The 26,835-nt window shown below is 44.7% G+C and overlaps 1 protein-coding gene across 3 annotated transcripts in view, besides 4 other annotated features; it reads right to left on the reverse strand.

The window, feature by feature from the left end:
• Nucleotides 1,095–1,295: a silencer, noted in NCBI's record as "peak396 fragment used in MPRA reporter construct". NCBI's record gives its function as "represses an SCP1 promoter by STARR-seq MPRAs in K562 erythroleukemia cells {active_cell/tissue: K562}" and the evidence as "EXISTENCE:reporter gene assay evidence [ECO:0000049][PMID:32103011]".
• Nucleotides 3,040–26,835, reverse strand: part of ZNF697 (zinc finger protein 697) — a 28,890-nt gene continuing 5,094 nt past the window's right edge. For 2 of the 3 annotated variants that reach the window (XM_005271315.4, NM_001080470.2), the window contains exons 2-3: nucleotides 9,538–9,800; nucleotides 3,040–7,779 (exon numbers count right to left, since the gene is read on the reverse strand). In XM_005271315.4, coding sequence (XP_005271372.1) covers nucleotides 6,368–7,779; nucleotides 9,538–9,763 — 1,638 coding nt within the window. In that variant the 5' untranslated portion in view covers nucleotides 9,764–9,800 and the 3' untranslated portion in view covers nucleotides 3,040–6,367. Of the gene's footprint in view, nucleotides 7,780–9,537; nucleotides 9,801–11,296; nucleotides 21,481–26,835 lie in introns of all 3 variants that reach the window. The other variant, XM_047433849.1, reaches the window with a different exon arrangement.
• Nucleotides 15,091–15,140: a silencer, noted in NCBI's record as "silent region_1244". NCBI's record gives its function as "represses an Ori minimal core promoter by ATAC-STARR-seq in GM12878 lymphoblastoid cells {active_cell/tissue: GM12878}" and the evidence as "EXISTENCE:reporter gene assay evidence [ECO:0000049][PMID:35858748]".
• Nucleotides 15,231–15,390: a silencer, noted in NCBI's record as "silent region_1245". NCBI's record gives its function as "represses an Ori minimal core promoter by ATAC-STARR-seq in GM12878 lymphoblastoid cells {active_cell/tissue: GM12878}" and the evidence as "EXISTENCE:reporter gene assay evidence [ECO:0000049][PMID:35858748]".
• Nucleotides 19,463–19,572: a silencer, noted in NCBI's record as "silent region_1246". NCBI's record gives its function as "represses an Ori minimal core promoter by ATAC-STARR-seq in GM12878 lymphoblastoid cells {active_cell/tissue: GM12878}" and the evidence as "EXISTENCE:reporter gene assay evidence [ECO:0000049][PMID:35858748]".

The following is a 26,835-nucleotide window of genomic DNA, read 5'->3' on the forward strand; positions in this document are numbered from 1 at the left end:
TCTGTTTCCTTTCCCGCAAAATGAAGGATATGGCTCAGTTCTAAGGTCTGTTGCCAGTGACACTGGGCTGTAAAAGTGTAAGATGATTTGCATCCTCTGGCACCTGCACACTTCTGCAGCTAAACTTCATAATAACACAAGCCTCCATGTGCTTATTTGTTTGTATGAAGCCAAAGCTATTTGAGAAAGTGGTTTCCCAGCCCTTCCCTGGCTCTAGTGGCACCTGGCACCTCAATGGGAAAGGGGCATCATACCTCTCATAGGGTTGTGAAGGGTCAAGAAGTGGGGCCAAGTAGTAACCGATTCCCTCCCTCCCTGATATCTGATGACCACTAAACTGCAGAACTTAATGCTGACTTAAATACGGCCTTTTGTTTTGGCATTAAGCTATAGATGTTTCCCAAGAAGGTTTTAAAATTAATTCTTTGACAATCACTAGAAATTAAAATGGGCAGGACCAATAGAGACAGTGCCTACTGAAAAGGAATCAGAAACCCAGAAAAGTCATGCCTTGCTCAAGTCCACTGCCAGTTAATGCCAAAGCTCTGCCCTGCACACTCCACGCACAGCACACCCTCAAAGGAGAAGCAGAACTAGTTCCTTCTTTCTTCCTGTTCTCAAGAAAGGGAGGCCATGCCTTCTCACTCCCTCATCACCCTGCCCCAGGAGCTGGAAATCCCAGAAGACACAGTCCATATGCACAGCAACTGCCTCTCTCCTCCTTCTAGGCTCCCAGGAGCTATGACACAAGACTTTAGGACACCCCTCAGCAGCCCCTTCTCTGCAGCACTGGGCACAACCACCTGGTAACCACCTTGCTTCCTAACATTCACACAAGCTCCTGAATCTTACAAGAGCCTTCATGTTTGTCCTTTGGTTTGATTTCCCCACACCTCATACCCGCATCTTTCCACTGCACAGATGGGAGCAAGATCAAGAATACCTATAGGGCTTGGTCTAGGCTGCAGCAACACTCAGCAGTGGCTGTGGCAGTCCAGTGAATCTCAGGCTGTGAAGTCATGTCTGTGATTTCTACCAACTCTATTAACTTCAACACAGAAATCGGCAGAACTACTTCAGCTAAAACCTTGAAGTGACCCTCATTTCAGACATTCGCTAATGCTATACTTGACAAGAGAAAAGTCTAGCCAGATCCTTTTCCAGCCCCTTGACAAAGTGAACTAGCTTTTCCAAGGTTACACACTGTCCCTTCCCTCACCCAACAAAGCCAGCTAAAGTGGGCATTGCCTGATTTGCAGCAGTGGTGGGGACTCTGACTTATAGTTGCAGAGTCCTTGGCAGAGAATCTGCTTAATGCTGAGCCTTTGCTGAATGTATCATCTTGCCCTAGCATAACATGTGAAGCCTTGACATGAAGTTCCCCCCGGTCCACCTCCCATCCCTTGCAGCCCCAGGGGCCAAATCCTTAAAGTCAGACTTATAGTTGGCAAAATAATTCGCCCAAGCAGGTTGGGCAGGCAGAAAACAAAATAGGCCTTCACCTTCACCTTTAAATGGTGTTGGAATGTGTAAGCATCTCTACCTCTCTCATATCTGTCTCTCTAGCATTGAGCACTATGCCTGGCACTTGCCCACTCAGCTGAGGGGTGAACTTCTCAGGGTCTCTGCTCTTAATGAGTCACAGCCTTGGGGCCTGGGGAAGGCCAGTCATACACAGATGGTATCAGAACACCCAGGCAGAACCACTCCCTACCTCAGCCCTTGATGCTTTCAGAAAAGCATCTCAGTGGAGTGTCTTCAGTGAATAAAAAGAATGCATGGAACTGCTTCCAGTGAATCCCTGGTCTCCAGGAACTGGCGTCTGGCAGTTCTTTACTCAGGTTGGAAATCCTTCAAATACGTGTGTGGGAATGCCAATTTAAACATTGCACGTACACTGACACCTTTTTCAACCTCCTTAAAAACACAGGGCAACATGGTATATGGAACACCTTGCCACCCACCTCATTGGCTTCCAAAGCTGAGCATTCCCAGCTGCTGGAATGAGACAGGGCGCCAGCTGGATGCAGACAGCATTGTGAACAGTGCCCTGGATCCCACAGGAGCAGCAAGAAACTGAAACCCATTGGAATGTGCTTTGGGTTAGCAGAGATGACCTTGAAACCAGTCTAGCAGCAGAAAACTACAATCTACAGGGTACTTGCAGCTGTGATAGGGAGACAGAGGAGCAAGCACTAGGCAATTCATGCTGGAGGCTGGCCAGGTGTGCTCCTCCCCTCCCACCAGGGGCAGAGAGGATGGAAATTATGTGATTGCCAAGGGCAGCTGAGAAAAGGAGTCATGCCTGGGGTTTTGCTTTGTTGTGAGCTGAGTTGGGGGAATAAAGATCTGAGAGGAGCGGAGGAAGGCTGACTATGAGTGGTGAAGACGGTGAAGGCCAGCAGCAGCCTTCCACACCTATTCCATTGTCATCTGATGGACAGCCAAGACAAGCACTTTTCCTGGCTCTTACTTATGATATTGTCTTCACTATTTGGAGCAGTTGTGTGACAGGAGGCCTACCAGGAGCAGACAAAGCCTGATGCACCTTGCACTGCCCTTTGCCTCCATACCCCCCAGCGGAGGAGAGGATTTGAGCCTTATGTATTATTATACTTACTGTAATTCCCAAGAAAGAATGGGGGGTCTCTAATTGGTCCTACAGAGTTCTCAACCCTGTTTGCTCATTAAAATCACCTGGGGAGTTTCTATAAAACTACAGGAACTTAGGCCTCACTCCAATTAATTGCTCTCTTCATTTAAAAGGCAAACAATCCAAAAAGCTCTCCAAGGTTAAAAAAATCTGTAGCTTAAACTAATCAAACCTCAAGAATTCCAGGTTGACCAGGTACAGTTTTTCTAATTGGAATGTGGGCAGAGGCCCACTCACGGCAAATTCAGGGTGAAGTAGCACAGATAATATGCAAATGTGCCTGTATGGGTATGACTGTATTCTAATGCAACTTTATGTACAAAAATATGCAGGGCAGATTTAGTAGTTTGTCAACCCTTGTTCTACAAGAACATAGCTTCCATAGATAGAGCTGAGTGACATTTAATGTGTGGCAAAGAAGAATGACATGGTAAAAGACTGATATGGATTTAATGACAAATATTCCATATTGGTTGCTGAACACCAGAATGCTGTCCAAGGAACCATCGTTAAATAAAACAACCTGAAAATAAGGCAAATCTCACGTATACAAGCACACTCACACGAAACCTGTTACTTTTAGGATCATTAAATTATTCACTATTTTAACAAACAGCTGTAAAATAACATTACAGTGAAGAAAAATGTGCACAAACTTCAGAAACACAGTTTAGATTGTCTATGAACACAGGTCCTTAATTTGTATTTTTTCACATATGTACAGTCTCTTGATTGTAAAGAGACCACATGGCTCAAGGGGTTAACTTCTCATTTTCTCCTTCCAACTCGGAGCTCAAGATTTAATCAAAACCATTTAGCCTATTTAAATTGCTCCAGGTTTTGCTTAGTAAAGGGCAGCAGAGGAAGACTGCTCTTCATCAAATTCTCCAGGAAACAAATAATACACTTGCTTCCACCATCATTAATGAGTTGGTGGAAAAAGTCCTCAGATTAACGTTTTCAAGGGTGAACCGCAGTTAGCAGGGTTTGCCGAAGAAATATTATTCTAAAACTAGATAGAAGAAACAAACAACCTCCTGAATGCATTTAACCTCACTTAATGCAGGTAAGTTCCCTGAAGAATTGTAAGAAAAAATGGAATCACATTTTAAATGCACCAATAGAGTCGGGTGTTGGTAGTTGGATTGTTTTCTTCTGCTAAGAATGTGCTCATAGAAGGGATATCAACGTAGCAGCTGACTTTTTTATCCATGGTAATAGAAATAATGAGAGAGGTAAATGAAGTCCAAAGATTCCCACTGCCACTAAACTATTTTACATTAGCTTCACTCTCCACTCCCTGTTGAACCCATTCTCTAAAGTTGCTGATATGTAGTATATTTGATGCAGACGAGACCAGGCATAGCAATGGCAGCAAAAAAGCAAAAAAAAAGCGGATAATCAATCCATGAATAATCAAAAGTTGGATGAGATTTCATAGGCACAGACTTGAGAAAACTTAAAACAGCTGGAAGAGGTAGATGTACATGGAAAGAAACCCACAAAGCAGTAAGATTACCTAGAAATTGGCTATATTATTTTCAGGTGGGTCTAATATGTTTAGTATTCAGATTACAAATCAGAATTCAAAACGGACACTTGTTTGCTTGTATTACTCCTGACTAGAAGAAAATGAGAATTAATGTCTTTCAAAACTGTCTGTAGTTTGAAAACCTATTTGCATTTGTGAATAACAATAAACTGATTAAGAGGGCAAGATCAACAGGCATTATACAAGCCCAGAATTATCAGGATTTTTAAGTGTTTTTATAACCACAAAAACATGCTTTCCTACAGTCCCCAAAGAGGTTCTTTACTAGAATACAACTGATCAAGTATAAATTACTAGCATCCACAGAAACTTTGCTAAAAGTGTAAAAACAATCTCGTAGCTTTTTTTCCCCCTTCCACTGTGTCTGATATTTTGTGAAGATGCTTCCATGAAATGTGTAGGGTAACAATCACTAGAGAAGAAAACAATACTGCTTTCCACAACTCTAACTTCTAAAGGCTAACCTAGCACAGGGATCTTCAGCATAAGTAACTGAAATCTATACAAGAGTCATCTAACTACAGCCCCTTACTAGAAATGGAACATAGCTAGGATACCCTAATTAGGCGACAAAGACCAGCTTTGTCAATAAGGACATGTTTGGCCCTTCTAGGCTAGCCTTAAGTTTTTCATCAAGCATAAGAATTTTCAGTGTCCTTAATTTTATTATATAAATCATGACAAGTAAGTCTTCCTAGCAGCTGAGCTGGAGAATGCAAAAGGTCAGGCTACAATTATTCACACTGTCCTCAGCCTCTCTTCAGGACAGCCTGCACACTCCTGTTCCCAGGCCTTCCCTAAGACAGCGGTCATAATACTGATCTAACTCACAATGATGTGAGAAACAGCTAACAATTATTAAAAAGCATAAAGCACTTTGCAAATATCAAAGTGCTATTTTGGCATCTATATAACAACCAGAAAACATTCATTGTTTGTGCTATTTGGCAATTTTGCATTTACACCTCTCCCTGACTGGGCTCTTCTGGGTAAAGCCTTGAGATTTCTACTGTGCCTCCACGCGCAGGCAAAAGACATTCTTACTTAGACTAGATCCCTCGTCAATATGCATGGAAGTGGGGGTTAGTGGAGGTCACTAACAAATGCAAAGTGAAGGCAAATGAGACCAAGGAGTCTCGCATCCCAAAAAAGTGAACACTTTCTTGGATTTCTCACATAAAGGCCAGCAAAACTCTGAGCTAGTTGACTTTTTAGCAGGTCACTGGGCAACTGTTGGTCTAAAGTTCACTTGAAACACCTACATCAAGGTGAGGTGGGAAAAGGAAAGTCACACATAGCTGTGATTGTTCCTTTTCCCTGCACTTAAAACACCACAGTTGAGACCTGAAAGAAATACTGGGTGTGGCACACACCTGGGATGGGCGAGGGCGGGGGAGGGGGGTCATCCAGGTAAACCACCTTGACCCAGCATGAAGCTAGAGTATTTTCAAGGAAGTAGCAAAGAACCCGGGACAGAATCAGGATTTCCCACATCAGAGAACCAGTTATAAATGAATTTCTAAACCCCAGACATTGCCCCTTGAAATGAGTGTGGCGTTTTTCAGCCCACTTCCCCTTGGATGCCTCAAAATAGCAGCTAACTGTGGCTCAGAGAAAGGAAAAGTACATTAAATATCCTGTCCTATGTGACTGACAAGGTTCCCCTACTTTTTGTGAGACAACAGGTGATGTGTGGAGATCGGGCAAACTCTTGGTGGGACCAAGATAGAATCACTTATACTTGGTTTTATTTCGCCCCATAACCCTCATTTAAACCCTCTCCCCGCAACCTTCTACAGGCCATCGCGGCCTACCCTAGTCTATTGCCCGCCATCCTGTTCCCACCCCAGCCCACGAACTGCCCTTCCTCAAAGTGCCTGGTCCTCCAAGCTCTTCACCCCCTACAGCGTGTATTTAAGGAAGTCATCACCCCAAGCGCATCTCCTGAACAATTCTTCCGTGGAGAGGAGGCAAGTATAGCACCGGGAAAGACCAACTTACTCAACACTCCTCCCACTTCAGGAAACCCCAAACACCAAAGGCTCCCCAGTCACTCTCAGATTGTCCCTCCCGCCCCTTCCCCACTTCCTTCCCCTGGGTCAGTCCCAGGATATCTACCCCCCACAGGCTCCCCAGACGGCAGCCTCCCGCGGACCCAGCCCCTAACACAGGTGCAGCTTCTGGTGCTGCGCGAGGTGCGTTTTATAGCGGAAGCCTTTGCCGCAGCCCGCACACTTGTGCGGCTTGTTGCCCGTGTGGATGCGGCGGTGGCGGATCAGGTGGGAGCTCTGGATAAAGCTCTTGCCGCACTCGATGCACGTGTAGGGCTTCTCGCCCGTGTGCGTGCGCTGGTGCTGCGTGAGCGTGGAGAAGTCGCTGAAGCGCTTCTCGCACTGGCCACAGCGGAAGGGCTTCTCGCCGGTGTGCACGCGCAGGTGGTTCACCAGGTGCGAGTTACGCCCGAAGCCCTTCCCGCACTCGCGGCACACGTAGGGCCGCTCACCCGAGTGCGTGCGCTTGTGCGTGAAGAGGTGCGAGCTGACGCTGAAGGTCTCGCCGCACTCGGAGCACATGTAGGGCTTCTCGCCCGTGTGCACGCGCTGGTGCTTCACCAAGTCCGAGCGCCAGCTGAAGCGCTTGCCGCACTCGCCACAGCCGTGCGGCTTCTCGCCCGTGTGGATGCGCTGGTGGTTGGCCAGGTGCGAACGGCGCACGAAGCCCTTGCCGCACTCCCCGCAGGCGAAGGGCCGCAGCGCCGCCGCCCCCGCGCCGCTGGCCGCCGCGTGCGCGCGCCGGTGGCTCAACAGATGCGAGCTGAGGCTGAAGGCCTCGCCGCACTCGGGGCACGGGTAGGGCTTCTCGCCCGTGTGCAGGCGCCGGTGCTTGAGCAGGTCGGCGCGCCAGCTGAAGCTCTTGCCGCAGTCGGCGCACAGGTTGGGCCGCTCGCCCGTGTGCAGGCGCAGGTGGTTGGTCAGGTAGGTGTTGCGGCTGAAGCCCTTGCCGCACTCCCCGCAGCGGAAGGGCTTTTCGCGCGGGGGCCGGGCCAGCGGGGGCCCGGCCCCGAAGCCCCCCGCCACACCCACCCCCATCATGCCCACCATCGCGTCGCACTCGCCCGCCAGGCCGAAGGGCTCCAGGCTGGCGGCGGCAGCGGCCTCAGCCAGGCGGTGAATGCGCTGGTGCTGCAGGAAGGCGGCGCCAGGACTGAAGCTCTCCCCGCAGTCGGGGCAGATGGTGGGCGCGTCCATGATGCTGGCCACCAGGCTATCCAGCTCCCCGAGGTCCACGGCCATGGGGTGGTGGAGCCGGTGGAAGCGGCGGTGGGCGGGCTTGTCACCTCGGTGCCGACTCCCCAGGGAGAGATGTCGCCTCCAGGGAAGTACGGGAGGGGCCGGCTGCTCCTCTTCCTCCTCCAGCCGGTTCTCCCCAGCACTCTCGTCGTCGTCCTCCCGGAGGCTCCGGGATATGCTGTCAGACTCAGACAGTCCTGGGAACATCGCCATGTCAGCTACACCGGATTGGTCATCCTCTTCCCCACGGACAGAAACGCCTTCTTCCTCACTCAGCTGCCCCTCTGCAACAGAAAAAGGTGGCAGTGGGGGATTACTATACTTGGCATTCAAAAGATAAGCCCAGAGGAAACCTCAGTAATAAAACTGTGATCCCCTCCCTCAGGCACTCTGGATCCCTGCCCCTCCAAGACCCCCTGAGAGTTTAGCCTCTCTCAACTGGATCCTCCAGGGAAAGGCCTAAAGGAGAGTGCACTCATTGCCCCCTCTGCCCACCAGTTCTTCAGGCAGCCTCCTCGGGCCCAGGCCCCCCTAGCTGGACCCGAGGCACTGCCTAGCAGAGCCATCTGAAGGCCTGACTGCCTGTGTTCAGGATATTCAAGTCTGTGCCAGGTGGGACACTACGTAAGATCTCAGGAGAAAAGGTTTACTCACTCCAAGAGCTACCAATGCCTTTTAAGATTCTAGTCTCAAAAGACAAGAACAGTCTGCCAACCTGAGAAAGACCACTTGGCCTAACCAGGCCCTGGACTAATTTTTTCTTTTTCTCTTTTTATTTTTGAGACAGAGTCTTGCTCTGTCGTCCAGGCTGGAGTGCAGTGGCGCAATCTTGGCTCACTGCAACCTCCGCCTCCTGGGTTCAAGCGATTCTCCTGTCTCAGCCTCCTGAGTAGCTGGGATTACAGGCTCATGCCACCACGCCCAGCTAACTTGTATTTTTAGTAGACATGGGGTTTCACCATGTTGGTCGGGCTGGTCTCGATCTCCTGACCTCGTTTTCTGCCCACCTCGGCTCCCAAAGAGCTGGGATTACAGGCATGAGCCACTGCGCCCAGCCCTCAGGACTAATTTTTAAAGTACATTTGGTCAGTCTGAAACAGCTTATGATGGAACAAAAAACTGAACTCACCTTCAGGACTTTGCTATGGGTGGGGGGAGGGGGATAGTAGTGGGGAATAGAGAAAGAGATTACAGAGCCTAGAGCTGGTGAGCCCAGGTTAGAGGCTGATCCAGGACACACACCTGTTGGTCTCTGGCTGCGTATCCCCAAGCAGAGGGAAGTTGCTGAGATGTGAAAGGCCTCACATGTGCCCTCCTGCACATGCTTCTGTGCACTGCGGAGGAGGGCAGCAGGGAGTCTGGGACTGTGTCACAGGGGAAGGAATGTAACCTCTCAGTCCTGGCCATAAAGTATTTTAGCTCATTTCTGTCCCCAGAGCATGCACTGAGCAGGATAAAGTAATGAATGCCCAAAGACAGAAACAAGGAGGTGGGTGGAGGCCCAGCATTCACTCTTTCAGGTCAGTAAGAGTAAGGCATTTAGCAGAGGCCATGGGCACTTTGGGAATTAGCCACATGAACCTAGGCAGGTCACTTACCAGTGAGATGACTTATCTGCAAAGGGAGATGAGGACGTAACTGTAAACATCTGGATACCTCCTATTTGCACAGTACTGTGCTTAGTAACTCTATATGCAGCAACTCATTTAACTCTCCCAATAACACTGTGAGGTAGATTCTATTACTAGCTGGGTAATTCTACTGTAGTGTTGTTCCAGGGGTTAATTTATAGCAGCATTCTCTACACTGTAAAAAGTACTGCGCCAGTGAGTGAGCCTCTTCACAGCTCACCTCAGACTGGGCTGAAAAAAAGGATGGTCTTCAGGCTAACACAAGAGAGGCAAGTCAGTACAGAATCCTGCTTAATGGTCCCCTCTATGGAACTCCCTTACAGAGAATGCTGTCGCTAGTTATGATTCTAGAGGAGCTAGAAGTAAGTGTAACTTTGGCAACTTGCATAGAAATCCCAGCTTTCTCCTCACCTGTGCAGATGTCGGGCACTGCTTCCCTGTGCCTTGAGTCCTGTGGGTTGGAGCCCATCTCCGGCTCCGGATGGCCTTCTCTCTTGTTTGTGTCATGTGGATTAGAGCCCATTTCTCTTTCTTCTGGGTCCCCTTCCCTGTCCTCAGAGTCCTCAAAATCAGAACCCATCCCTTTGTCTTCTGAGTCCTGGTGTGCACAGACACCCTGATTATCTTCTTGTTTCATCCAGGAAGAAAAGAGCAAGGGAGGTGACCAGGAATCCCTGCTCCAGAAAAACACAAAGAAAGGTCACGTCAGTCCGGTCTCATCCCCTCACCACGCCCAGCCTTAATTTCCAATTCTAATAAAATGTATGGAGTTCCAAGCCCCAGATGGCAAACCTCCACTTCACTCCACATTTTAAAGTAAACAAGTGAGTGCAAAGGAGGGTGGACTGGGTGGCAGAAGAACAGTGACAACCTCACTATGAGGTTGGATGCCAACTCTCACTGGACCAAATCTTGATCTTCTGGCTATGATATGGATGTCTATTAGTGTGGTTTTATAGTTTAACAGTGAACTAGATGTTCCCATTTTTACAGCTGAGAAAACTTGAAACTCAAAAAGAAGAGGCCACTAGCCCAAGGCTACATAAACTTATAAGCAGTAGAGTGGGGATTAAGCAATTGGGCTGCCTCAAAGTTCCATGCTTTTCATACTCTTATTAAGCTTGCTCGCCTCCAGCCCACAGCAACCTTGCAAGTATTTTGGTTATCGTGCAAGTATTTTGGCTAATTTAAGGAGCCAGAGGAAAAGTACATCAAGACACAAGAATAATAGAAGCATCAAGTATAGTAACTTCTTGTCTAAGACCATGTCACCAACAGCACCACCAACCTGGCTTTTGTAGTGAGGATCTACTTTGCAGGGAGGAATGAGCCAAGATGATTCAAGTAGGCCTGGTGGGGCCAAGAAAAAGAGGTACAGGGGACCCTCTATATTAGAAGCCATCTCTATCATCCTAATTACATATTTTACAGTATCCGAATTGTAGAGAACCCTTAACAGGAACATACACCAGAGATAATTGGTAACCCCTCTACAGAAAAGGCCAACATGTGAATCATAGGGAGAAAATGACATCAGATTCCTAAACCTTTTGTAGACGTCAGGATAACATTTCAAATTTAAAGGGCCCCCTGCCAAGACTGAGCAGTTGAGCCAAAAATAATTTATTTCTGCCATCCATCACTCCTACAGCTTAGCTCCAGGCAGCCAAACAGTTTCTAGGTCGAGGATCTTGGACTGTAACTTTGAAGAGACTAGCTCTCTGCCTCAGCAGTCCCCAAACAGCAAGAACATGGCTGAGCAAGATGCCTCTTGCTTGGCTGGGAGCTCTTCCTGCCTCTGTGGAGGCCTTCTCTGAGGTGGCCCTGGTTCTACAGAGCCTTTGGAATGGTAAGCTGGAGTTCCAGGCAGCGCAAGTTGGAAATTCCAGCTGGGTCAGCCTCACTAGAGAGCCCAAAGCAAGTCAATTAACCTCTTACTGTTCCAGTGTCCTCATGAGTGGAAGAAGGGTAAGGCTACTTAACCTTTCTCACAGGGAGGGTGTTAGAAGGAAACTAATGAAAAAGCACTTTGGAAAATACTGCAGAGAGTAACTGATGCTTTGAGTTTTACAAGCGTGTAATACACACATTTTTCCTCTTAAGTCCTGATGCCATTCTAGCACACCCCAAAGACACGCTAGCCCCTCTGTAATTTTGGCAGACTCATCACCATATTAGACTCTTTCTGAGAGACGATGATGCGCTCCCTCAATTGGAACATCAAGCCCTCTCCTTTAATGTCTTCGGATATGGCTGTGTCTGAGGTTGGTCAGTCAACAGGTCCTGAAATGCGGTTGAATTCCTTTAGAACGTATACTGTTTAAAGCACCAAGTTTCCAACATTTGGAGATTTCTTGTCTAAGACAGTAGGAGAAAAATCTCATTAAAGCTGTAAACCTTTTAAGAGGTATACTCCATGACTACTGACCCCAAATCACTTCTGCCCATCACTCTTGCCTCTTTGGAGCTCAGACGCAATGGACAAATACATCCCTTGAGTCTGCATATATAATACACCTGAAAGTGGCTAGGCAAGAGTAGTGTCATTAAACATGACCTATTGATTTGCTAGTAGTGGAAAACAGTGCAGGCGTTGGCGGGGCGGGGGGCGGGGGGAGTTAAGAGGGGATTAATCAATGGTTTCTACCAATCTTGAGACCAGCAGGAGGGTTCTGTGTCAATAAAGTCAAATAAGCATGTCATCAGAATCTCATAAAACTAAAATAGCAGAGGTACAGTGCCCAGCATGGCATAAAAGGGATTGCAGCACTCCATCCTGAAGGACAGGATTTAGGAGTCCGATCTGGGAAACAGGGAGCAGGGCTTCCCCTCTAAGCCCTTTTATGGACAGGCTTCTTATGGGGCACCTCAGACATAGCAATAATGGAACAACAGAACTTTCTGATTTGTGATTTATTGGGAACCGAGACATCAGATATTAAACGTGGAAACATGGTTTTTCTAGATTTGAAGGCAGGGAGAGGGGAGAACCAGAGTGAGTTCCCCACTTAGGGCTGACGTATGAAAAGTTCACAGTGCTGCCTCAGAATTAAGGCAGGTTCTGAGCTCCGAAGGGAGTAGTTCCTGATCCTTATTTTCATTTAGACTAGGGGAGGGAGGATTAGGTGTGCTCTGAAAAGAGCTTGAAGTTCCTGTCACCCAGATACCATTCATGGCACAACAACTACTCAAATTTGTTTTAAAATGCATTATGTTAGTGCAAAACTGGAAATCTGCATGCCCAGTAACACGGATTCAGTTCCATTCACGCCAGCACATCATGGGGTTTTAGGCAATTGTCAGGTGATGGAGAAGGTTATTTAGAAGTTAGGAAAGATGATCACGATGTAATTATATGAAAAGCAGCTGGTTTGAAAAATATTTCACTTTGGCTTATATGCATACTAACATGTATATTTACACATGTATACACAGATCAGAGAGGAAGACCAGAAGTTTATTAAAATACTAAACTTCTCAGTCACTTTGGGGGCTTTGCAGCTCTTAACTCATTTGATGTTAACCTAATAAAGTAGGATATTTCCAACTTCACAGATAGGAAACGGGCACAGAAGTGACTAGTCCAAAGTCATACAAATCATAAATTGCAGAGCAGGGATACATACCCTTGCAAGTCTAGCTCCCGTACACACATTCTTAACCAGAAGCTGGTATATAGTTTGAGACTTGTCCTCTTTGTACATCTGTATTTTCTACATAAACAGGTATTTTTTAATCAGAAAAATAACTTTGTTTTTAACATGATAGAAGATGTTAAACCTGCAATTACTCTAGAAGTAATAAAAAGGAAGACAAGGGCAAGAGTTGTGATAACCTCAATCTAGAAAACTTAATATTCAAAAACACCAGACACCATGGTATAAAGTGTCAGATATTCAGGCATATTTTGTTCCAGCTCCTTTCCCATTCATTCTCAAAAACTAGCAACATGTTTTCTTAGGCAAGGCTGGAGCTGGATATCCAGTGGGCAGCAGGGCAGTGTGATCACTTTGTGGCCAGACTGACCTGGGTTTGAATCCTCTGCTCTTTGCCAGCCACTTTACCTTGTACAAGTTTCTTAGCCTTGCTGAATCTCAGATTCTGCATCCATAAGAACAAGGATGCTGCCTCCTACCTTGCAGGGTTGTTTCTCGAGCCACAAAAATTAATGTTTGTAAAAGCTGCTGGCATGTTAGAGACACAATAAATGGTAGTTATTACTATGATGAAACTTCAGCCAACTTCTTAAGAAAATTATACACACCCCCATTCTAAATTGGGGGTCACCTATTCCCAGCTACGTTCATGGAGAATGGCCTTTGGCAAGTACAAACAGCTTCCCCTAGCCTTGCTGCTAAAGGTTCTATTAATGAACAACTCACCATGTGGATACAAGAACCAGGGAGTGACTAGTTGCTGAAGGGAGCTAGGTAGAGGGAGAAAGGTTTAATTCCAAATTCAATTAGTTTTCAGCTGCTGATTGCCCATCCTGTAAACAGAGTATAGGTCTAAAGCTAAATAGGGTGTGGGTGCCTGGTTCAGTAAACCCTAACGTACACCATCTGTAAGGGAGCTCTCCTTCCCCCAATAAGAAGGAATAGAAGTTTAAGGGGGAAAAGCAATAGAGTGGTGGGCATACAAAACTAATTCTACATCTGGTTGTAATCACTGAGGGAGACAACTCTGGTTTTTGGCCAACACAACCATTGTGCTGTGTGACTTTAAGCATTTGCCCCCTTCGGGCTTCCGTTCCATGAGAAGGTTGGGTTTGAATGTTCCTGAGTCCTCTTCAAGCTTGTCATGTGACACACAGGTGAGTTGATCCAGGAAGGCATCATTGTCAGTTTCATTAGACATTTCCAGCTCCAGCTTGTTAATCCACACAGCAAACTCTTAATCCCCAAACATTCCACCACCACCATCACAAAACCTTTTTCTTGGATGCAGATCACTTCAAGGTGGGATTGGGCAACTTCAACAAGACTGCTCAAATCCTGGTTTCTAGAACTTGTGATATTTTCATGTCTCTTTCCCCTACCCCAATTTCAAAAAAGTAAGGCCTATCACCCTATCACTGGGAAAATGCTCAAGAGCCTTCTAGACAAACTCAACCCCACTTGAAAGAAAGATCACTTTGAAGACACTGCTACAGAGCAGAGGTGAATGTGATAAAGTGTCTCTAAAAAGAGAAAAAGACTCCAGCCTGGGCAACAGAGCAAGATCCCTTCTCTACAAAAACTTTTTACAAAATAGCTGGGTGTGGTGGCACATGTCTTTAGTCCCAGCTACTTGGGAGGCTGAGGCAGGAGGATCACTGGAGCCCAGGAGTTCCAGGCTGCAGTGAGCCAAGACTGACCCCACCTTCCCCCGCACTCCAGCCTGAGAAACAGGGCAAGACCCCATCTCAAAAAAAAAAGAGGAAGGGAGGGAATGAGGTGGGAAGATCGGGGAGGGTAACTGAAGCCAGTAGCAGAGCCAGAATTAGAATTTAAACCAAGTTTATTGGCACATTCGCCAAATCCCCCACTTTGGGGCTACCTGTGAAATCTATCCCTATTGAACAAGGTCCCCACCACTTTGTGGATTTAACCTAACTTCCTATGAAGAGGTTAGGGCAGAGGAGTGTACACAACTCCCCCACCAACCTGGATTTTACATAGAAACCAAGGCCAGAAATAGCACCAAGTCTCCCAGCCTCTAAAAGATAAAGCAGGGGCGCAGCTGCCGCCTCGCTGAGGCAGCCTTCTGCGCGGACCCCAAGCTGTCACGCGGCCCCTGGCGTGGATGGCACCGCGGAGGCGGTGTCTCCTTGGAGCGGACCTAAGCACCTTCCTATGCACTGCAGCGGGTCCATCTCCTTTGACTCCAGTAACTGAGAGGTAAATCAGGGTGACCCGTTTGACGTGTAAAGAACACTGAGGCCAGGGAAGGTGAACCCCAGGCGGCGTCTCTCTCAGGTAGAGACAGCAGGTGTTCCCCTCCGCTGGCTCCTAGAAGGGACAAATGGCCAAGCGCGTTAGGACTGGAAGAGGAAGGCCAGTTCCCAGCGAAGCAGCGCGGGCCGCACCTGGCAGCCCCGACCAGCAGGGACGGCCAGTTCCAGAGCAGATCACTCCCAGCCCCCGCTTGGGCCCCGCTTGGGCCCCGCCTGGGCCCCGCCAGCCCCCAGGGCAGAGGGCGGAGGAGTCATGTGCCGCGGCGGCCGCTGCCAGGTGGCGGGGAGCCAGGCCGGCAGGGCTGTCATGTCAGGGGAAGGAAGCGGCCCGGCGGGCGGCGGGCCAGGAGCGGCTCCCACTCGGGCCTCCAGACTGCAGCTCCTTTCCTGTCTCCCACTCATCTCGAGGGTCCCTTCCCTACCTCCTCAGAGGAACGCAGGGCCGGCCAGCAGCAGCTGGAGGCTTCCTCCCTCCTCTTCCCACGCCCCCCTGCCCACCACTATTTCCCAAGGGAGCGCTTCCATAGCAGAGTCCAGGCGGGGACACCCGATTGGGTAGAGCGCTGGAAAAACAATTTCAGCCTGCGGTTCAAAAGGCTGAACTCATGACCACAACTGGGGTCTAACCAGAGATTCCAGGGGGTTAATCATTTGTCCATCTTCAGCACCAACTGGGTAAAAAGTCAGCTAGCCTCTCGGGGGATATGACCATCAAGGTCCTGCCTCCTCACTGCTAAGTTTATGGTCAAAAGGAACCCAAAGGGCAAAGAAAGCCACCTCGCCATATTTGCAGGGGATGCCTCTACTGAGCAAGGGGTAAGCACCTTACACAGAATGTGTCCACAACCAAACGTGGCAGGCGAACTTCCCCTCAGCTGGCTTGGCCAGGCACAAACCCAGACTGCCCAACCCAAAATGCCAGCCACCCAAGTGGCAGACTGCTGCGTGAGGGTGAACATTAATTCCAGACAGGGACAGCCAAAAGATTACTGCACCTAAGTGTTGCCCGCTCTCCAGACAAGAGGAGCTAAAATAATATGGTTTCTGCCTTGTGGTTACTGCTTTTTTTACCTGGAGAGGGAAGCCCAAGGTGGAAAAACAAAAAGGCTCAAAACCAAGGCAACAGAGAAACCAACCTACATCCCCATGGGTCAGCACCAGTTTGAGGCTCCTTCCAATCTCTGTGATCAGGAATAGCACAAATGCCCTTGGGGTCAGACATTTCCTGTCCATCGGTTGGGCTAGGGCCCCTCAGTTTGGCTTGACAGCCTCAGCTTATCACAAATGCCAATCCTCCACCACCACCCTATTCCTCCTGCACGAAATAAGAATTAGTGCAACGCAGACACAGATCCTAAGTGCCCTCAAAGTTAGACTATCTGCCCTCAGCTGAGAAGTCACAAAAGCTACAGGTTTTCCCGTTGGCATTTACTATCCATATTTTACATTTAACTGATTAGAATCTTCCGCGACATAAATCAGGGTGATCCATTTTCCTGTATATTTTCCTTATATACAGGAAATCCTTCTGTTGATGGTTTTTTATTCCCTGTGCTCCACCACCACTACTGTTTTACACCCTCAGTTGTTTTGTTTAGTAAGAGAAACTTTGGGCAGCCCTCAGAATTATTATCTCTAGACACTTTCTCAGCAGCTGGCTCAAATGTTCCATGTTTGCATTTCAGGAAATCACAGACCTTGGAAATCCCTTCGTTTAACCTTCTTTTACAGAGATGAAACTAAGGCTAGAAAGGGAAAGTGACTGAAAGTCAGGTTTTACTAGAAGAGTTGTGGCCAGACTCTCAATTTTGCGGATGGTGTCTCCAGTGATCTTTGCATCTCTTTAATATAAAACACATCTTCAAAAAATAGCCAGATAAATTGAGGACATATACTTGTCTTTTCTTTTTGTTTTTGCACACTGATTAATCAGGGTCCTCCTAAGAGAACCAATAGGATGTGTGTGTGTGTGTGTGTGTGTGTGTGTGTGTGTGTATAGAGAGAGAGAGAGAGAGAGATTGATTTATCATAAAGAACTGGCTCATGCCATTATGGGGTCTGGCAAGTCCAAAATCTGTAGGGTCAGCTGACAGGCTGGAGACCCAAGAGAGCAGATGCAGAAGATTCCTCTGAAGATCAGTCTGTTTGTTCTATTCAGGTTTCAGCTGATTGGATGAGGCCCACCCACATTATGGTGGGCAATGTACTCGAAGTCCACTGATTTATATGTTATCCTCATCTAAAAAACATACTCACAAAACACCCAGAATAATGTTTGACCACAAATCTTGGCATTCTGTGGCCCAGCCAAATTGACACATAAAATTAACCATCATACATACTGTAGCTTAAAGGTGTAGTCTGCAGTAATTGCATCATATTTACGCATTTAAACATTTTTCATGAAAATCATTACTACATACAGATAGTTGAATAGAGTCTCAGGGTATATGTGCTATAGAGGATGGCAGGGAAAAATCAAGATTAATCTTAAAGATCTACACAGCCACATGTGTGTGTTATCTGGATTGGGGTCCTAGTTGTGTAACACTCCTACAGCAGAAAGACATGCAATTTAATCATCTATTTCACTGAAGGACAAAAGAGAAAACAGGTTAAGACTGCACCAGGGGTTTATGTGAGCTATGTGAGTTGTTAACAGACAGCCTTGTTCTGGGAAAGTTGATGCTGGAATCCCATATTAACGTTGCCAGATGGGGCCAGGTGACCTCAGGAAGTCTTTTCCAACCCAGATGATTCTGTGATCATATTTCCACTGTAATGAATAGCCCTCAAGAGAATGCTTATCATAGCAAATAAGGAGAGAGGGGTGTTGGGGCCAAAGGACTTGAGGCACACATTCAATCACCCCAGCTTCCCACTGTATATTCAACAACAACAAAACAACCGCTCTTCTAATTCTTTGCCCAAAATAACTGTTTGGTGTTGTTGATGAAGAATGGCTGGCGTGTTCCAGCCCAGTGCATTTCAGCAGTGGGTAAGTGACACCTCTCCCTATAATCTGCCAAGATATCTTCCAAAAAGAAAAAACAGGAATAAAAATGTAAAGAAGTCACCTGATGCCTGAATTTTCCTGCCTAATTAAGTGTTAACTTCCACAGCTAGTTTTCAGCATGAAGTAAAACATTTGCATACACTTAAAAACAGGTTTGAAATAATTACATACCTGTTACTCTTATTTCCTTAAAAATAACAGATTATCAGCAAAAACCAGATCATAGGAAAGAATGTAACACACATGATCCACTTTCTTCAATAACAATGCAACAGTGACAAAAATGGCAAAGAAAGGGGAAAGTAGAGAGACCTGTAGGTCAAAAAACATAAACAATATCAACCAACCCCAATATACTGACCTTATTTGAATGCCAACTCAAACTTACAAATTACAGAAACAAATTATAAGACAACGGAGGAACTGTGAATACTAATTAGATATTTGATATCAAGGAACTTCATTTTGTCAGGTGTTGGTACTGAGATTAAGTGTACAAAGAGTTCTTATATCTTTAAGAGATATATAATGAAATATTTACAAGTGAAATGATATGTCTAGAATTTGCTTCAACATAACTCCCGGACAAAGGGGAAGGGGCTGGGGTACAGATGAAACAATATTGGTCATATATTGACCACTGTTGAAGCTGGATGGTGGTATATATAGGCTTATTACACTACTTTATCTACTTTTATATATTTACTAGAAAGCTTATAAAAAGTTTTGAAATGGATAATTATATTTTTTTCTGAAATTTTGGGTTATTTATGTTCATTTAAGTTTTGGCCAGAACATAATAAAATATCAGTGATTTCCATAAAAGGAATAGCCTGCTTTTATAAATCATGCCAGAACAAGAGTGGTTACAAGGCTTAATACTGAACAGAGCTCATGGGAAGTGGGAGAAGGGGCAGTGGAGCAAAGATACTAATAGAAACTTAAGTTTGATGCTTTTTGCTCTTTTTAAAAATGAGATAAAGGAATAGCTGTTATGTTCAAAATAGAATCAGATTCTGTTTCCATTTTCATCTACTTTTATATTTCCAAACAACTAAAAAATGATCCTGCCCACCAGAACTTGTTTATTTCCACCATTAATGCAGCAACTCTACACTCCAAACCAAGAAGGAATAAACTGGATTAGGGGTCCTAGTTGTGACAATTCTATTAGGGGAATGCTTTATCCCCAGGACAGACAAACTAATGAAAGGATGTGAGTGTCCAGTAGATTAAGTACATCAATTATTGGTCCTCCCTAGAATCACCTTCTAAGGGGATGAAAAATGGAAGATCATGTACAGATGAAAAGGAAGATAACACAGTAGTGATTTATGAAAATGTGATCTCCATGAGATGAACTCTGACAGGAACAGTACTTTACTAGCCCAAACTGAGAACTTTTAAATTTAGATAGTGTTGTCAGACAGTGCTCAGAGAAACTCTGAGGATGCCAGTCAAATTGCTTCATATCACACTACGAAGAGAGCAACTAGAAGATATTATGCTCCTACTTTACATGAGAACTGAAAGCTCACAGATATTTTCTGTTTCAGCCAATGGTGCACAGTAAATCTAGGATGCACACACCCAGTCACAGGACACAGCTTTCCTCCAGGAAGTGATGCATCTATCTCAAGAAGGAGGCTTGCGTGTCTGGGACTCATTCATAACTTGAACATCACGTTACTAAGTCATTCATCAGGTTCAGTCTGGGTTCCTTACCTTTAGTTCCTAGCATTTCCCAAAGAGAGCAACAGTACTACACAAACTTGCAAATAGAGTAATGGTATTTTTCTTGAGCATGAGTTCTTAGCCTGAGGGCCTTCAGAATCCGTGAACTCCCTGCAACCATACGGAAATGTGTCTGTAGACACTTTCTCCTGATGAGAAGGCCCATAGCTTTTTCTTGGACTCTGAAAGGATCCGTGGAACGAAAACAAAAACCCTGTTATAAACCACTATTACAAAGGACTCATGATACATTTCCTTATCATAACAATTCAAAAATGATACAGAGTGGTTTTGGGTAAGGGGGATAAGAGCAGTTTCACCACTATATGCCACAAGATCTTTTGGCGTGCTGGTGGAAAAGAGAAGATAATGGCAGTAAGTCCAAAAGCAGGGAGTAGCACAGACAAAAATATCAGTAAATTTCAAACACATATGGAGAGCGAGGGACCTAGCAAATGGAACCTGCCTGAGATCACCACTTTGGTGATCTCACCTAACACCCTATTTTACAGATGAGTCAGGCAATGGAGACCAAGAAAGGTTAAGTAAATTGCCCATGAACACACCAGTTAAGGGCAGACACGAGCCTAAATCACTGGCATATTAACCTTGGTTTCAATCTCCCCTTGCTACTCAATCCAACATAACCTTTGGTGCTTGGCTAATTCACACTTGTGATTTGGGTCTCCCAGCATCATTAGTTCACCTGCTCTTCACTTCCTAGCCACTCACATTATGTGACAGGTGCACTAAGAGGGAGGGAAGTTGTTCCTCAAGACTGTAACACCCTGCCTCTCTTGGACGTATCTAATTTATAAGCTTGACCCCAGGTTTATGGCTCCTATCAGCTGCTTACTTGGGCAGTGAGTAAAATCACATTAATCAAACCATAACCTACCCAGTACACAAAATGCTTTGTTATTTAATCCTTCTCCTCTCAAAGGAAAAAGAATTACAATCTGGACAAAGTCATCAACTCTTTCCTAACAAATCTTCAAAGTGTTAGCAAAGTTATCTTGCCTGCAAAGAATAACATGCAAATACCCAGATAAAGAAGGGCATTCTGAGAGTTACACAAAACTGCAACATAGGGAGGCCTAGTTCATATTAACTGCACCATGGGATCAAGGACTCAGTTCATCCAATGTGACCCATTACTACAAATACAGTTTCTTAGCTCCAACCTGAGCTTTAACAGCTTTGCAGTCCCCATATGGGAAGTTGTATAGATGTGGGCCCGGTGGCAGGGACAGCACCACTCCAAGTACATTTTGCTGTAGAGAATGTATCCACAGATAATGAGCAAATCTCATAACTTGAATTCACAAAGGTGTCAAGTTGGTAGAGGATGGGGCCACCCTTCAGATTACTGGATTCCTTTTAGGTACAATCTCCCTTGCACCACATTCTCCCAACCCGCTCTGTCATATTCATGAGTTTAGTGCTCTGGCTTTAGTGACAACATTTCACTGAACTGCATTTTTCTTGTTTTCTTCCTGACTCCTGATAATTTTTTTCCTATTGTAGTTTCAGTTATTTTTCCTCTAGAAAAAAACATAGAAAATGTTCTTCAAACTTAACTTCATGTGATCCTCAGAAGTGATGGCTGACTTAACAGGTTTTGGATTCTCTGCTGTTTTTACTAGAGAAAAACAGAACATCTTGTTGGCTAGAAAAAAAAAGCAGTTGTTTGAATTAGCATTGAGTTAATGGAGTGTTAGAGTAAACACTGAATAATACTGAGTCCTTTGTATACTATTTGAAAAAAGTCATCGTCTGTGTGTGTGTATGTGTGAGAGAGAGAGAGAGAAAGAGACAGAGAGAGAGAGAGAGAAAAGAGAGAGAGAAAGGAGAGGGGAAGACCATGAAGCCTCAATAGTACTGGTTATACCATTTAAAAAAATCTTTAAAGACATTTTTCTATTCAAACTATGAAACTCATTAAAAGGGGAGACTGCCTCATTCTGCAGTATCATTTTTAAATTACTAAAACCAATTATCAAACTATATTATATTTTCTCCTGCAATGCCATTTTTTGGCCAAATAAATCTTACAGGCTATTGGGAAAAGGAGGAATAAGTGCTAGTGAGCCCTAGTTAAAAACTTAACATCACCACCACACTCTCACAGTTTCCCAGTGAACTCGGGCTTCCAGATGGGACAACCTCAGCAGACAGTGTTAATTGCTAACATTTAGTTAGTGATCCAGACCCACATCAATTATCAGCTATGTATTTCTACCTTCCACATGCCGTGGTCTCCTCTTCTGCTTTGATCTCACCATCAACACTGTAAAGTGCTTGGCATTTAATAGGAGTTCAGTAAATGGCCCAGAAATCTTGTTGAGACACTCTCCTTGGAAATTCTCTTTGCTTAGCACCCACAATATTGCACTGTCCTAGTCCTCCTCATACTTCACTGACCACCCTGTCTCCTCTTCTTAACTCCTAAAATAGGTCAGCCTTCAAGGGTCTTTTTTACATTTCTTCTCCCTCTCCCTCAACGGTTTTGCCTCTTCCTGTAGCTTTATACAGCTCTTCTATCCAAAGACCTCACAAATTTGAACCTCTCACCCAACCCCTGACCTGCACTCCAGATCCACATTTCTCATGATGCCCCAAGCATTACAACTGAGGAGGCTGAATGTCCCTTCCAGTCCTGAGGTGCTGTCCCGCATGTCCCATGTGACAAGGGACAGGAGGCAGCAGAAACAGGAAAAGCACATGCGAAGGAGTCAACAGCACGGGTTAAAGTAGAAGTCTGCCACTGACATATGGTGTGCCCCGGGACAGCTATTTCACCTCTTCGAGTCTTAGTTTAATCATCTACACAATAGGGGAAAACAAGCTACCTTGAAAGGATGCTATAAAGACTCAATGAATTTCCATTTGTATTGTATCTGGCCCATGTCAGATTTAAAAACAAGTATTAGTTCCTTTCTTGAATCTTTGCTACAAATCAGCTCCTCCTGGCAGTGTCCATTTCTGTTAAAGCCGTCTTTGTTCTTACTCAGAAGCTCAAAACCATGGACTCAACTTTGACCCATCCCTCACCCCTTTCAATCAAATCAGTTGCCATGTTCTTTTCACTTTTCTCTTTTTTTCAGTTGCCACTATCACTGCAGTACACACTCTTACTAGTTAACATGCACCTACATGTCACTACTGCATCAATCTTAAAATGTTGTCACTTTATTATTCTGCTCAGAAACCCCTAAGTGACTTGGTCATATAAGCACAGACTCCAAGTCATTAACAATGTAGCCTAAGGCTCTCTTACCTCATCTTAACCTCTGTCCCCTAACCCCAGCCCAAAAGGGTTGCTTTAAATTCCCCAGAAGGCACCCTGTTTTCCCTTCCTGAGATGCTTTTCGTCCTCAAAGCATGGGTTACAGTCTGTCCTTTTCCGGAGGCAGCAGCACCTGTAATGGTTAAAAGCTCAGATTCTGGCCAGGCATAGTGGCTCACGCCTGTAATCCCAGCACTTTTGGGGGCCAAAGCCAGTGGATCGCTTAAGCTCGGGAGTGCAAGATCAGCCTGGGCAGCAGGGCAAAACCCTGTCTCTCCAAAAAAAAAAAAAAAAGCCAGAAGTGGTGGCATACACATGTAATCCCAGCCACTTGGAGGGCTGAGGTGGGAGGATTGCTTGTGCCCAGAAGGTATTCACACCACTGGACTTCAGCCTGGGTGACAGAGCAAGATCCTGTCTCAAAAAAACCAAAAACCAAACAAGATTCTGGAGCCATACGACCTGTGTGAATCCAGTCTAGCTGTTAGCCTTAAGCAAATTGTTCAACCTCTTTTGGCCTTAGTTTTCTTCATCTATAAAATGGAGAGAACAACTGAACCTACCTTATAGGGATAGTAAGTGCTCAGATAGAATTATTATTATTTTTTCACTTTGTATGACTTAAGATACTTTTTCTTATTCTGCCTAATATTAGTTTTTTAAATAGAATCATACTTACAATAATTCATATCTTATTTTTGGCTCTCCTTTTTCTCCTACCACCTCCCAACTGTAAGTTCCTTATGGGAACAAACATTTTATTCACTTTGATAATTCCCTCACACAATGGACCTTCAAATAGTTCTTGAAATGGATAAAATCAGGAGTAATTATTTCTTCCCCTCGGTCTCAAAAGGAAGACCTAAAAAGACTAGGAAATCTAGTGATTTGGCAAAATCACATCAGGTAAGGTAGAGTCATAGAGACAACCTAACTCTCCCAACTGGATCCAATAACCTGTTAGCACCAGGAGCCAAACATGCTTAATTACCCTGCTAAATAGGTAGCCATGACAGGAAATGGCAATTAGCCTCAAAAGTTAGGCAGACCATTCTCAAAAAAGAATTCTACATCTCTTGGCCCAAATGCCAGCATGCTTTGTTTGTATCAAATGCCCCTGTGTGGGTCCTCCCTCCACTCCAAGGGTTTAACCCTTGATTCAGCTGTGCAAACAGAGGTGGCACAGTGCTGTTTATGTTCATTGTGGGGAATGCTACCAGACTGTCCCACTATGACAGGACAACTACTTCTCTCCCACCCAAGGAAAATTGGGACTAGCAGTCACAGAAATTAAATGACGAATGAAGAAAGACCAACATTTAATCTTCAAAGTAATTATGAGACTAAAGAAGTTGCTGGGTAAGGCAGGGCAGGGAGTGCATTCAAATACCGGGGAGATTTGCATTTAACATTAAGAGTGGCTATTCAGACTAAAGTTTTATTCTCTGGCAGTTTTCAAGAGTTTCATGTTTTGTTTTGTTTTTCTTACTACAACAAGAAAGGCATGGATTTCTTGATTTCTCTTCTCACCTACATAGAATCATCAGCCTAGAAAACCCTTTCCCTAAAGGTCCAGAATTAGGCTGGGAAACAAATGAAGGCTCTTAAGAAAGTTAGTAAAGATTACATGCCATACAGGAAGTGTTGACCAGGAATACTTACCACACCACCTATTCAATCAATAAACACAAGCACATATTAGGAAGTAGAGAAACAGAAACAAAAGATGTCCTGTGGCAACTGCCCCCCAGACTAGTGTAGGCTGTGGCTGCAGTCTGGTTAAATTCAACTGATGCTTATTGTTATAAGGGGGGTGGTAAAAGGGGAGTGTGTCTTCCAGTTAATTTCACATTTTGGTTTCTCAGTTCTGGAGTAAACTAGTTTTATATTAAATTAAATCTGGCACACATCCCCCCCTAAAAAAGGAAAAGATGGGGAAAGCTCATATACTAAAAAAAATAACAAGAAAAAGAGTCACAGGTGGGGAGAAAATGTTTGCAAAAAAATATATATGATAAAAGGCTGTTAACCAAGATATAGAAAGAACTCTTAAAACCCAATTAAAAATGGGCAAAAGATCTGAACAGACACCTCACCAAAGAAAATATGCAGATGGCAAATAGGCACATGAAAAGATTTTTAACACTGATACGGTTTGGCTGCGTCCCCACCCAAATCTCATCTTGAATTGTAGTTCCCGTAATCCCCTCGTGTCATGGAAGGGACCAGATGGGAGGTAATTGAATCATGGGGGCAGTTACCCTCAGGCTGTTCTCATGATAGTGAGAGTTCTCAGAAGATCTGATGGTTTTATAAGGAGCTTTTCCCCCTTTGCTCGGCACTTCTCTCTTCTGCTGCCATGTGAAGAAGGACATGTTTGCTTCACCTTCTGCCATGATTGTAAGTTTCCCAAGGCCTCCCCAGCCATGCAGAACTGTGAGTCAATTAAACCTCTTTTCCTTATAAATTACCTGTTTTGGGTATTTCTTCATAGCAGCATGAGAATGAACTAATACAAACATCAATGTCATTTGAGAATTTCAAGTTAAAACAAGATGCCACTACTCGCTCATTAGAATGGCCAAAATCCAAAACACGACAACATCAAATTAGCTATCAAGGCGTGAAAAAACATGGAGAAACCTTAAAACGTATACTACTAAATGATAGAAGCCAATATGAAAAGGTCACATACTGTATGATTCCAACCATATGACAATCTGTAAAAGGCAAACTATGGAGACAGTAAAAAGATCAGTGGTTGCCAGAAGTTAGGGGAAGGGAAGGATAAATAAGTGCAGCACAGAAGATGTCTAGGACAGTGAAACTATTCTGCACTATACTATAATGGTAGATACCCGTCATTATACATTCGTCAAAACCATAGAATGTACACCAAGAGTGAATCCTAAAGTAAATTATTGATTTTGGGTGATAATGATGTATCAATATAGGTTCATAAGTTGTACCAAATGTATCACTCTGGAGCAGGATGCTGAGAGGGGGGGAGGCTGTACATGTGTGAGGGCCGGAGGCAGACAGGAACTCTACTTTCTCAATTTTGCTGTGAACCTAAAACTGCTCTAAAATATTTTTGAAATTTTATATATATATGTACATAATGTACATATATGTAAGCTATCTTCCCCAGCTTATATAATTTATAAGCATACAACCTTACCCACACCTCATTGTAAAAAATTGTCTGTGCCATCATTTTAGGAACAAATTAAAATGAAATAAAAAAACACATTCATTCAACAAATATTTATCAAACACTTACCATGCACTACCCATTATTCTAGATTCTCTGTTGTAAAGATTACATTCTAATGAAATTTCTATTCTACCTTCTATTTCTAAATACCTTCTAAACCACCTCTACTTTCTAAACCACCTTCTATTATCAGAAATCATTGTCAATACCTGCCTGAAGATTTTCAAAACTAGCAAAACAAAAATAAAGTGATTCTTTGAAATTCACAAAGGCTTCCAGGTATGGGGGACAAAAAATTTCAACAACTGGAAAAGTCTTCCTATAGTGCCCTGCTAAACTTCATCAAGCATCAAAGATGTGCTAAGCACATGAAATAGCTCTGAGATGATGAGCCAAAGCAAAACATTTCTTAGCAAATAAAACCCAGAAAGTTTATTCCTGTTTTATAATTATGGTAAGATCCTGATAAACTTCTCAGAAGACCATGTATATCTGAAGTAACTCTCTGAATAAAAAGT

This window comes from Homo sapiens, chromosome 1 (genome assembly GCF_000001405.40).
Source record: "Homo sapiens chromosome 1, GRCh38.p14 Primary Assembly".
Classification (NCBI taxonomy): domain Eukaryota; kingdom Metazoa; phylum Chordata; class Mammalia; order Primates; family Hominidae; genus Homo; species Homo sapiens.